Raw genomic sequence first — 13,567 nt, 5'->3', positions numbered from 1 at the left:
ATAAATTGGACTTTATCCAAATTAAAAACTTTTGTACATCAAAGAACACTATCAAGAACAGTGAAAAGACAACTTACAGAATGGGAGAAGGGAGAAAATATTTGCAAATCATACATCTGATAAAGGTCTAACATCCAGAAAAAGAACTCTTAATCACTCAACAACAAAAATACAAACAATCCAATTTAAAAATGGGGAAAGGACTTGAAAAGATATTTCTCAAAGAAGATAAAAAATGGCCAAGAAGCACATGAAAAGACGATCAACATCGTTAGTCTTTAGGGAAATGCAAATCAAAACCACAATGAGATATCACTTCATACCAACTAGTATAGCTATAATTTTTTAAAGGGGAAAATAATAAGCTTTGGTAAGGATTTGAAGAAATAGAATGGCTATAACTTTTTTAAAGGGAAAATAATAAGCTTTGGTAAGGATATGAAGAAATAGAGATCCTCATACATTGCTTATGGAAATGTAAAATGGTATGGATGCTGTGGAAAAGGGTGTGACAGTTTCTCAAAAAGTTAAACATAGAATATGACCCACCAATTCCACATCTAGGAATATACCCCAAGGAATTGAAAACCGGTACCCAAAGACATACAGGTACATGCATATTCATAGAAGCACTATTCACAATACTTTAAAGGTGGAGACAACCCAGATGCCCATCAATTGATGGATAAACATATTGTGGCATACACATACCATGGAATGTTAATCAGCCCTGAAAAGGAATGAAATAGCGACACATATTACAACATGAATGAATTTTGAAAACGTTATACTAAATGAAAGAAGCCAAACACAAAAAGTCACATATTATATGAATTCATTTATATGAAATATCTAGATTAGGCAAATTCATAGAGATAGAATACAGATTAGTGGTTGCCAAGGGCTATGGGGAAGGGAGACTGGAGAGTAACTGTTTAATGACTATAAAGTTTCCTTTTGGAGTAATAAAAATGTTTTGGAACTAGATAGAGATGTTGGTTGTACAATATCATGAATATACTAAATGCCACAGCATTGTTCACTTTTAATGGTTAATTTTATGTTATGTATATTTACCTCAGTTTTAATTTTTATTGATTGATTGACTGACTGATTGATTCAGATAGGATCTTGCTCTGTTGTCCAGACTGGAGTGCAGTGGTGTGATACTATTTCACTGCAGCCTTGAACTCTCGGGCTCAAGCAATCCTCCTGCCTCAGCTGCCAGAGTAGCTGGGACTACAGGCATGCGCCACCATGCCTGACTAATTTTTTAAAACTTTTTATAGAGACAGAGTCTCGCTATGTTGCCCAGGCTGGTCTCGAACTCCTGGGCTCAACTGATTGTCCTGCCTCGGCCTCCTAAAGTGTTTGGATTATAGGCATGAGCCACTGCACCCAGCCTCACCTCAATTTTTTAAAAATTTGAATATTTGAGAAAAAATTTCTATATACTTGAGAAAGTTCTGGTATTCAGGGTATAAAAGGAATATCTACAACTCAAGATGTACACAACTCAATGTGTTGGGAATATCTACAGGAATATCTACAACTCAATGTATTGTTTCTATAAGCACAAACAACACATTTCTTAAAAAATGGCCCAGAGATTTGAACAGATACTTTACCATAAAAGATATGAGTGGCCAAGATATGAGTGGCCAATAAGCACATAATTTTCTGTTCCTTTACGATCTTTTTCCTCCTTGTAGTTTAATGTTTTCTAATAGCCTGTCTTTCATTCACTAATCCAATCCTGCTGTTTCCAGTCTGTTGTTAAAGCCATCCAGTGAGTTCTTAATTTCACAGATTATGTGTTTCAGTTCTAGAATGTTCATCCTGTTTTTTAAAATATATTTCAATTCCATGTTGAAATTCTCCATGTTTTCATCCATCTTATCTATATTTTCCTCTAACTTAACATATTTATAACAGTTAAAGTCTTTGCTATTTCTGATATCTGGATCCTCCATTGGTCTACTTCTATTGTTAATATTTTCTCTTGGTCATTGGTCATATTTTTCTGCTTCTTTTTTTCTTTTCTTTTCTTTCTTTTTTTGAGACAGGGTCTCACTCTCTTGTCCAGCCAGTGGAGTGCAGTGGTACGGCCAGGACTCACTGCAGCCTTCACCACCCAGGCTCAAGCAGTCCTCCCACCTTAGGCTCCTAGTAGTTGGGGCTACAGGCATGTGCCACCATGCCCAGGTAATTTTTGTATTTTTTGTACAGATGAGGTTTCACTATGTTGCCCAGGCTGGTCTTAAACTCCTGGGCTCAAGTGATCTGCCTGCCTTAGCCTCCCAAAGTGCTGGGATTATAGGTGTGAGCCACCATGCCTGGACAGGTTTTCTGCTTCTTTACATGTCTTTTATTATATGACAGACCTTGTGTACAAGAGATGAAGGCTCCAACTGACATCTCTTACTAGTGGGTATTCCTCCTTTCCTCAGTTAGACAGATAGACTGAAGGACAGTCCACTCCAATCAGTGATTGAGTTGGGTCAGGGCTTTTAATTGAGAGTTTGTAAAGTCCTGATTTTACAAGTCCTAATTGAGTCCTCAGCCCTGAAAACATGAAGTCCTGTGCTTTCGAGGTGTGAGCTTAGCTCTTTGGCCTCCATTGTTATGGGCCGAATTGTGTCCCTCACAAATTCATATGTTGAGGTCCTAACCCCCAATACCTCACAATGTGATTATATTTGGAGATGGGGTCTTTAAAGAGGCAATTAAGTTTAACTGGGCTCATTAGGCCGGGCGTGGTGGCTCACCCTGTAATCTCAGCACTTTGGGAGGCCAAGGTGGGTGGATCACCTGAGGTCAAGAGTTTGAGACCAGCCTGGTGAAACCCTGTCTCTACTAAAAATACAGAAATTAGCTGGATGTGGTGCCTATAGTCCCAGCTACTCAGGAGGCTGAGACAGGAAAATTGCTTGAACCTGGGAGGTGGAAGTTGCAGTGAGCCGAGATCGCGCCACTGCACTCCAGCCTGGGCCACAGAGCGAGACTTCATCTCAAAAAAAGATAATAAAATAAAAAAATTAAAAGGCGGGGGGTTCATTAGGGTGGGTAGTGGGTAATGTGACTATGTCCTTATAAGAAGAGGAGATTGGGACATAGACACACACATACAGGAAAGACCATGTGAGGACACAGGGAGGATACTGTTATCTACAAGCCAAAGAAAGAGGCCTCAGAAAAAACAACCCAATTGACATCTTTTTCTCCCCTCATTGGTCCATTGGGAGAAGACTAATTGACATCTTGATCTCCAGCTTCTAGCCTCCAGAAATGTGACAGTATAAATTTCTGTCTTTTAAGCTTTGTAGTCTGTGGTACTTTGTTATGGCATTCCTAGCAAACTAATACTGTGTCAGTCCATTTTTTTGTTTGTTGCTATAAAGGAATACCTGAGGCTGGGTAATTTATAAAGAAAAGTTTATTTGTCTCACAATTCTTCAGGCTGAACAAGCATGTCACCAGCATGAGTGACAGACTAGTTGTGAATTTGTGAAAGACTCCTTTCCCTTCGTAGAATTTTTTTCCCTAAGCAGAACAAGACAATGGGAGAGTTCAGTTTGCCTTTTTGGCCCAGCTCCCAGCCTCACAGATCACCCTAAAACTCAGAAAATGTCTCACGGGAAACTAGCCTTGCATTTGGGCTCTTCCAGTTTCTTATAGGTCACAACAGCCCTGTGCGACTGTCAAAAGTTCTACTGGTTTCTCCTTCTTCTACTAGCGTCTTTCTGCCTGGGGGTCAGGCCCACAGGTGAAGAAAACAAAGACAATTGTTAGTTCACCTAGAGAGGGTTCTTACCCTTCTAGAATTTCAGTTCATCTATTCCTCCTTGTTCCAAAACTCTCTAATATCTTTAAAAGTATAATTTTGCAATTTATCCATTTTATTTTCTGATTGTTGCAGCAAAAACATTAGACTACCTCAAATTAATATAAACTGCTTATAAGTTAAAGTCTTCATTAAACAAAATAATGGCAAACTAAATATTAAAAAAATAAAATGATACATCACAACAAAGTTGGGTTTATTTCATGAATATATGATTTTTTTTTTTTTTTTGAGATGGAGTCTTGCTCTGTCACCAGGCTGGAGTGCAGTGGCATGATCTCGGCTCACTGCAACCTCTGCCTCGCGGGTTCAAGCGATTCTCCTGCCTCAGCCTCCTGAGTAGCTGGGACTACAGGCATGCACAACCATGCCCAGCTACTTTTCTTGTATTTTTAGTAGAGACAGGGTTTCACCATGTTGGTCAGGCCGGTCTTGAACTCCTGACCTCGTGATCCGCCCACCTCAGCCTCCCAAAGTGCTGGTATTACAGGCGTGAGCCACCGCGCCCGGCCCTATTTTTTAATACTACAGAAAACATTGTACTTAATGGTTGAAACTGTTTACTCTAAACATTTAGAGTACTAATTATACTGGAGGTCCCAACCAGTACAACAACAACTACAAAACAGAATTAAGGATAGAGGAAGAAATAAAACTGAATTCTTTGCATTCCTAGTTAAGCATCAAATGATTAAAAAATGAAATTTAAGAGAGATTCTCTTTACCATAGCATCAAAACATATCAAATATCTAGTAACAAATCTAAAAAAAGGTGTGTAATACCTCTGTCAGGCCTCTGAGCCCAAGCTAAGCCATCATATCCCCTGTGACCTGCATGTATACATCCAGATGGCCTGAAGCAACTGAAGAACCACAGAAGATGACATTCCAGCCAGGCACGGTGGCTCACGCCTGTAATCCCAGCACTTTGGGAGGCCGAGGTGGGCAGATCACAAGGTCAGGAGACTGAGACCATCCTGGCTAACACAGTGAAACCCTGTCTCTACTAAAAAATACAAAAAATTAGCCAGGCGTGGTGGCAGGCACCTGTAGTCCTAGCTACTCGGGAGGCTGAGGCAGGAGAATGGTGTGAACCCAGGAGGCAGAGGTTGCAGTGAGCTGAGACTGCGCCACTGCACTCCAGCCTAGGCGACAGAGCAAGACTCCGTCTCAAAAAAAAAAAAAAAGATGACACTCCACCATTGTGATCTGTTCCTGCCCCACCCTAACTGATCAATTGACTTTGTGACAATACACCCTCCCTGCCCTTGCGATATTCTTTGTGATATTCCCCTGCCCTTGTGAATGTACTTTGTACAATACACCCACCCCACCCTTGAGAAGGTACTTTGTAATATCCTCCCTCGCCCTTAAGAAGGTACTTTGTAATATTCTCCCTGCCCTTGAGAATGTACTTTGTGAGATCCAGCCCCTGCTCGCAAAAAATTGCTCCTAACTCCACCGCCTATCCCAAACCTATAAGAACCAATGATAATCCCAACACCCTTTGCTGACTCTCTTTTCGGACTCAGCCCACCTGCACCCAGGTGAAATAAACAGTCTTGTTGCTCACACAAAGCCTGTTGGTGGACTCTCTTCACACAGATGTGTGTGACAACCTCTATACAAAAAACCTAAAAATATTTTTAAAGAAATGGAAAATGACCTAAATAAATAGAGGTGTGTGCTTTGTTGATGTATTGGAAGACCTAAAGTAGTAAAGATGTCATTTCTCCTTAAATGACAGTAGAGTCAATAGAGTCAATGAAGTCCCAATCAAAATTGCAATGAGTTAATTTTTGTGGAATTGACAAGTGGATTCTAAAATGTATATTTTTTATGGTCAAGAATAATCATGACACTCCTGAGAAAGAATGTGCAAGGACATACTCTACTAGATATTAAGACATGTTATAAGTCTACAGTAATTGAGACAGTGTGATACTGGTAGAGATATTGACAAATAAACCGATAGAACAGAACCCATATGTAGGGAACTGATTTATGACAAAGGTGGTGTGCATGATGCTGGACTAATAAACTTTTTTTTTTTTTTTTTGAAACGGAGTCTCACTGTGTTTCCCAGGCTGGTCTTGAACTCCTGGGCTCAAGTGACCCTCCCGCCTTGGCCTCCCAAAGTACTGCAATTACAGGCATGAGTCACTATGCCTAGCCTAATGGAAATTTTTTATGAAGGCAAAGAAGAGTTAGTCCCCATTTCACATTATAGATGAAAACAATTCTAGGTGGATTGTAGCTCTAAATGTAAAAGATAAGGCTCAGGAAGAGAGATAATATGGTTTGGGTGTTTGTCCCCTCCAAATCTCATGTTGAAATGTGATTCCCAATGTTGGAGGTGAAGCGTGGTGAAAGGCCATTAGGTCATGGGGGCCCATCCCTCATGAATGGTTTTGCACCATCCCCTTGGTGATAAGTGAGTTCTTGCTCAGTTAATTCACACAAGATGTGGTTGTTTAAAAGCATGTGGCACCTCCCCCTCCACTCTTACTCCCCTCTTACCCTGTGATGTGCCTGCTCCTTCTTCACCTTCTGCCATGACTGGAAGCTTCCTGAGGCCTCACCAGAAGCTGAGCAATGCTGGCACCATGCTTGTACAGCCTGCAGAACCATGAGCCATTACACCTTTTTTCTTTATAAATTACCCAGCCTCAGATATTTCTTTATAGTAATGCAAGAACAAACCTAGAGAGTTCAGAAACAGACCGAGAAAGAGGATGAGAGGGTGATTTACTTTTCATTTTTGAACATTTTGAATTTTGTAATTGCAAATGAACTTGTGTGTGTATGTGTGTGTGTGTGTTGTGTGTGTGTGTTGTGTGTGTGTGTGTGTGTGTGTGTGTATTTTCTTTGCCAGTGACCATACAGCAAATTAACTTTGAGGTACCCTGCTACAGTACATCTAAGTGACACTGGGACAAGGTGGTTCACAGTAATTCTTGAGTCTTTGTTTTTTTTGTTTTGTTTTGTTTTTTTGAGACAGAGTCTCGCTCTGTTGCCCAGGCTGGAGTGCAGTGGCACCATCTCGGCTCACTGCAACCTCTGCCTCCCAGGTTCAAGCAATTCTTCTGCCTCAGCCTACCAAGTAGCTGAGATTACAGGTGTGTGCCACCACGCCAGGCTAATTTTTTTGTATTTTTTGTAGAGACGGGGTTTCACCATTGTGGCCAGGTTGGTTCCCTGACCTCAAGTGATCCAGCCACCTCGGACTCCCACATTGCTGGGATTACAGGCGTGAGCCACTGTGCCTGTCCAGGTTCTTTGAAGAGATCTAGACCTCTTTCCTGAGATACAGGCCCAACTTTAGGAATTATGCTGTCAGAAACCATTTCAAACCAGGTTCCTTCCTTTGTGATGCTGATCGTGAGGCCAAGGAGCTCCACCGAACTGTGATCCCCAGGTTTCCTGTCCTCAGTTATATCCTGAAACAGTCCAGTCCCAAGTGGGGCATTTCCAGCTGCTTTGCACATCTTGGATAGCTGCCGCATTAAGACATTTCCCTATCCTGCAGTGTACTTCATTCACAGACCTTCATGAGTCTGGGCAGTTCTGCTAAAAAGAACTATGTGCCAATTCTGCTCCTTCCTGATAAATCTGTGGATTCTCTTTGAATTGCCAATATATTTTTCAAGACTTCAAAGATGAGTATTACATGTTCTAGGTATTTAAACACATTAACTGCAGTACCATAACCCAAATGACATTCTCAGAATGACTGTCAGGGACTATGCACTTCTGAACACACCTAAATACGGGATTTCTTATTTAACAGAATTTTAAAGTAACATCAGCACAGATGAAAATAGTTTTGCTTCATCAGTCTGTATATAATCATAGTATTCTTTGATGTGGAAATTCTACTTTTTAGCTACATCTCCCTATCTAATATACATATCTTCTAGCAGGTATCAATAGTTATTAAAATGCATTTTGTTTTATTCCTACATCATTAAAAGCACAATTGACTTCTGGTTTTTTCTTTTTTCTTTTTTTTTTTTTGCTGATAGAGAGCACCTACTGAGTTCAGTGATCAAAGTCATGAAATAGCCACACAGGTCATTGTGTCTAAATATAGCAGTTATTATTTTGTAATGTAGTTATTATTATAGTAGTTATTACTCTGTGGTGTAGTTATTACTCTGTGAGGACTCAAAAGCCTTCTTAAACACTTGTATGTAGTCTATTAAGTTCAAAATGATAACAAATATTTATCACAGCACATTGACGAAATTCTGATAGGTTCAAAGGCTTAAAAGGTTAACAATTGCTCAGAAGTGCATACAAGCTAATAACATAGTCACTATTTTGCTGTCACCTAGTAGTGTCAACATTTATAAAATAACAGGTATTAATTTCATAGCATCATACAATGTGCAGTCACTTACTGTAGGAGCATATGAAAACCATATCCACCTGAAGGTTGGGGAAATATACTTAAGTATTATAGAATAGATAGCCCCTCTCGGTGAGCCTGTACTGGTGTGTTGGCAGCATCTTTGTGTTTCTCCCATACTTCCTCTTAGGACTGGATAAAATCTTGTTCCTCCAGCTCTAAGTGAGGCCAGTGGCTGGGGCTTGCTTCTGTCACCAACTCCTGTTTCAAAGTGGGCTCCTAGCAGTATCTCTCATGGCCCTCATGCTCATCCCTCATGGGGCAGTCCCCAGCCTTGTATTAGTGAATACACTTAGAATCAAACTGCCATTTGTTTCCTGCGTAATAGAAGGAGGGAGTAAGAAAGTAAATAGTGTTAACATTAAATTCCATTCGTTCCAAGATTATAGATTAAAATAATGTAAATGTAAGAGCTAACTGAATCCTCTTAGAAGAACACATAGGAGTAAGTCTTTGTGAACTTAGACAGTTGTTTCTTAAATACGACATGAAAAAATAAGCAACAAAATTTAAAAAATGAATCAGACTTTACCAAAATTAAAACTTTTTGTGCTTCAAAGAACACCATCGAGAAAAAGACAACCCACAAAATGAGAGAAAATATTTGCAAATTACATATCTGATAAGAGGTTCGTAACCAGAGTATATTAAAAAATTGTTACAACTCAACAACAAAAAGATCATCCCATTAAAAATTGCCCACAGATTTGAGCAGATATTTCTCCAAAGAAGATATACAAATAGCCAATAAACACATGAGAAGATGCTCAAAATCCTTAGCCATTAGGGAAATACAAATCAAAACCATAATGAAATACCACTTCATACCAACTATGATAGCTATAATCAAAAAACGGAAAATAACAAGTGTTGGCAAGGATTTGGAGGAATTGAAACGTTCATACCTTGCTGCTGGGAATGTAAAATGGTGTAACAGTTTGGCAGTTGCTCAAAAAGTTAAACATAGTTACCAAATGGCCATTAATTTCATTCTAAGTATTTACCCAGGAGAATTGAAAACATATGTCTACACACAAACTTGTATATAAATGTTTACAGCAGTGGTATTATTATTTTATTTAGAAAGAGGGTCTTGCTGTGTTGTCCAGTCTGGTCTTGAACTCCTGGCCTCAAGTGATGCTCCTGCCTTGGCCTCTCAAAGTGCTGAGATTACAGGTATAAGCCACTGTGTCTGGCCTACAGCAGCATTATTGATAATAGCTAAAATATGAAAATTATCCAATATCCATAAACAGATGAATGGATGTGACACATACACACAAAATGTGATACATTCATAAAGTAGAATATCATTTGGACAGAAAAAAATGAAATTCTGATACATGCTACAGCATGGATGATATTTTGAAAACATTATGCTAAGTGACAGAAGCCAGACACAACAGGTCACATTTTGTGTGATTTCATTTATATGAAATGTCAAGAATAGGCAAATCCATGGAGACAGAAAGTAGATTAGTGGTTGCCAGAAGTTGTGGGGAGAGGGGCATGAGAGTGACTGCTAATGTGTACAGGGTTTCTTTTGGGGCTATAAAATGTTCTGGAATTATATAGTGATGACGGTTGCACACCTTTGTGAATACACTAAAAACCACTGAATTCTACACTTTAAAAAAATTAGCAATACTTATTCTGAAAGGTAATTGTACTTTCAAGTAACAGATATTACCTTCCAATATAATCTCCAGGCATACTTTGTAGTTCTGAACCAGCAGTCTGTGCAGAATTTATTTGTATTCCATCACTGGCAGTAATTGCACTTGTTGCAGCAGGACTTTAAATTATTCTGCTGCAATCTTTAAGACTGCTGTGAAAGGTGTACTTTCAGGAACACTGAGTACTTTGTACAGCAGCCGCAGGTCGGACGTCAGAGTGATCTTAAAGGAAAGCTTTGACATGGTGGAGCTGGTAGGAGCAGAGAATTTGTGCCAACTCCAATTAGCCCCACTTCCTCTGTGAATTGTATACTTTGAAACGGTGAATTTTATGGTATAGGAATCAGAGCTCAATAACGGTATTGTATTATAAAAAAGCAGTAAGGCAGAGTCTCACTCTGTTGCTCAGGCTGGAGTGCAGTGGCTCGATCTGGGCTCACTGCAACCTCCACCTCCCAGGTTCAAGAGATTCTCTTGCCTCAGCTCCTGAGTAGCTGGGACTATAGGTGCCCGCCACCACACCCGGCTAATTTTTGTATTTTTTTAGTAGAGACGGGTGTTTCACCATATTGGCCAGGCTGGTCTTAAACTCCTAACCTTGTGATCCACCCACCTCGGCCCCTCAAAGTGCTGGGATTACAGGCGTGAGCCACCGTGCTCCATCTTTTTTTTTTTTTTTTTTGTGATAGAATCTCGCTCTGTTGCCCAGGCTGGAGTGCAGTGGTGCGATCTCAGATCACTGCAACCTCCGCCTTCTGGGTTCAAGCGATTCTCCTGCCTTAGCCTCCTGAGTAGCTGGGACTACAGGTGCACCACCACACCTGGCTAATTTTTGTATTTTTAGTAGAGACGGGGTTTCCACCATACTGGGCAGGCTGGTCTCAAACTCCTGACCTCGTGATCTGCTCGCCTCAGCAGAATTTTTTTTTTTTTTAGACAGATACTTTATTTTTTAGGAAAAGAGCCATAATTATCTTAAATGTGAAAAACCACATCCAATAAACCGATATAAGTTTCTGGAACAAGGGAATATCTCGTCACATGTTCACAGTGAAACCCATTTTAATGCAGGTCCAGCGCCAACTGCAGTCCTGTCCAATCCCCCATAGGTACAAGGGCCTGGCTCCTCTTCCTGTATACTGCCAGACTTCCTCATCTCACTGGGTTCAGCCTAAAGCAGATGTCCATTGTCTTCCTCACATATTGTGATTGTGGCTTAGAGGTAGGCACAGCACCACTCCAGCAGCGAGGGGTTTGCGTTATTTAAGAACAGCAGCTCTTTTTTCTCTTCTGTATGAGCTTTCTCATGTTAAAGCCAATTGTTTTCCAAACAATACTGAATACGACTTTCAAATTCCTTTGGGTTATAGTTGGAAACCAGGATGGGAATAAAGGGATCCAGGGCATCAAATCCTTCCTTTACCAGCAACTCCTGGAGCAGATAGGCTTTCCGGGGCTTAAAGAGAGACCCAGTCTGGTTCAAAGTCAACACAATGGCACCTCCATGCCAATCATTTTTCATCATTTTCCTCAGGTTGTGAACAAGTGCTAATTCCTCTGGGGCAATCGGGCATTTATCTTCTCTTTTCAGAGCAGTCCTTCCCCAAAGAGCATTGATTCCATCCACGGCCACCAGCAGGTGAAAAACACCCAAAGAACTTTGCCTCTTTAGCTCTTTCAGCACAATTCCAGCTGCATCTGTGGTGTTCCTCACCCGTGTTATGCCCTATTGGGAGAGACAGTGGATTGCAGTGCTGCCAGAGGCCTTCTCTCATTATTGCATGTTACACATTCAGTGACTTCTTTTTTTCTTTTCTTTTCTTTTTTTTGAGATGAAGTCTCACTCTGTTGCCCAAGCTGGAGTACAGTGGCATGATCTCGGCTCACTGCAACCTCCACTGCCCGAGTTCAAGCGATTCTCCTGCCTCAGCCTCCTGGGTAGCTGGGACTACAGGCATGTGCCTGGCTAATTTTTGTATTTTTAGTAGAGACGGGGTTTCACTATGTTGGCCAGGCTGGTCTCGAACTCCTGACCTCATGATCCTCCCACCCTGGCCTCCCAAAGTGTTGGGATTACAGGCATGAGCCACCGCGCCTGGCCTCAAGAATTGTTATTTTTACAGTGGATCAGAACTCAAAGACACATATGAAGAAATCTGAGCCCAGGATCCAAGTTTTTTTTCATTTACCTCTTTTATCAAACAGCTTGCATTAATTCCGATCTTCTTGGCCTCACTATTCTCTTGTTCCAGCCACTGCTACCAAGACTGTTCTGTGTGGACTCTGAACTCCCTGCTGGCACAACCTGCCAAGCCAACAGTACTTCATGTACGTCATGTTGCTCTGAGTCCTCCTTGCTTCCTGTCCACTGATGTCAAGGTGAATTCTGCCTTGGGCAATCTGAAAATTCAGGAGAGATTATGTTCTGGGGTGAATCTTTGAGGAGTGGCAGATAAGAGCTGAGGAATCATAAATTCTTCCCAACCCATCTCACACATACTGTTTGGAGGTGTGGTTTATGTGATTTCTCAGAGGTGTGACCATGAGATTAACCATTTCATTGCACTTACTGGTGGCCAGCTTGATGTCACATCCTCATATTGGGTTTCCTTCTGGATCTGCTTCACTCTGCTGACCCCCCATTTTTGCTCTCTGAGATTTCACTCCTTACCAAGGAGGTAGCATATAAGCTTTTGCCTCAGGGTCTCCTTTTGGGAGCACCCAAGCTAAGACATCTCTCAATCTTTTACAATTATTTTGAACACACTGCATTTGACAGCAATTTCTAGTGACCTGATTTTAGCGAGTCTTTCCAAAGTTCTCAATCTTTTTAAAAGAAAAAGCAAATTTTTAATCACATTTCATGGGTTAAAGTCATAAATATATAATTATAATAACACACATAACTGGCAAAAAGAGGTTTAGAAATAAACATACTTGGCCCTTGCTAGGGATACAGCCCATGAGTATGTTGGAGAGAAGTCATGAGCTTGCAGGTTAATTTTGTTTGGCTTGTGCAATATTTTAAGATTCTAATTAAGGGCTGTCATTTAAAAAACTGGAACATTTAACATAAATCAAGATTTCTACCATTAAAAAAATGGCAAGACCTGGCAACATTGGACTCGTAGAAATGGACTCCAGACAGGTATGGGGAAGTCTAGGCCTGCTAAGGGATATTAAAACTAGGAAATTAGGGCTGGGCACGGCAGCTCACGCCTGTAATCCCAGCACTTCGGGAGGCTGAGGCAGGCGGATCACGAGGTCAGGAGATCGAGACCATCCTGGCTAACATGGTGAAACCCCGTCTGTACTAAAAATACAAAAAATCAGCCAGGCATGGTGGCGGGCGCCTGTAGTCCCAGCTACTCAGGAGGCTGAGGCAGGAGAATGGCGTGAACCTGGGAGGCAGAGCTCGCAGTGAGCCGAGATTGCGCCACTGCACTCCAGCCTGGGTGACACAGCAAGACTCTGTTTCAAAAAAAAAAAAAAAAAAAAAAAACTAGGAAATTATGCTTCATCTTATGTAGTCTCACAGTAAAAACTGAGGCATGTGCTGAGATTGCTTTGTATTAGTTGTACCTCAACAGGTGGCACTTAAAGAGTCTCTGGAACCAGGAAAGTATAAAATTCCCT

The 13,567-nt window shown here is 40.9% G+C and overlaps 1 pseudogene; it reads right to left on the bottom strand.

Annotated features, from left to right (window-relative positions):
• DAP3P2 (death associated protein 3 pseudogene 2) lies at nt 10,950–11,662 on the bottom strand (annotated as a pseudogene).

This window comes from Homo sapiens, chromosome 2 (assembly GCF_000001405.40).
Source record: "Homo sapiens chromosome 2, GRCh38.p14 Primary Assembly".
NCBI lineage: Eukaryota > Metazoa > Chordata > Mammalia > Primates > Hominidae > Homo > Homo sapiens.
Note: the sequence above shows the minus strand (reverse complement) of the source record. Positions and strands in the feature narration are given on the sequence as shown.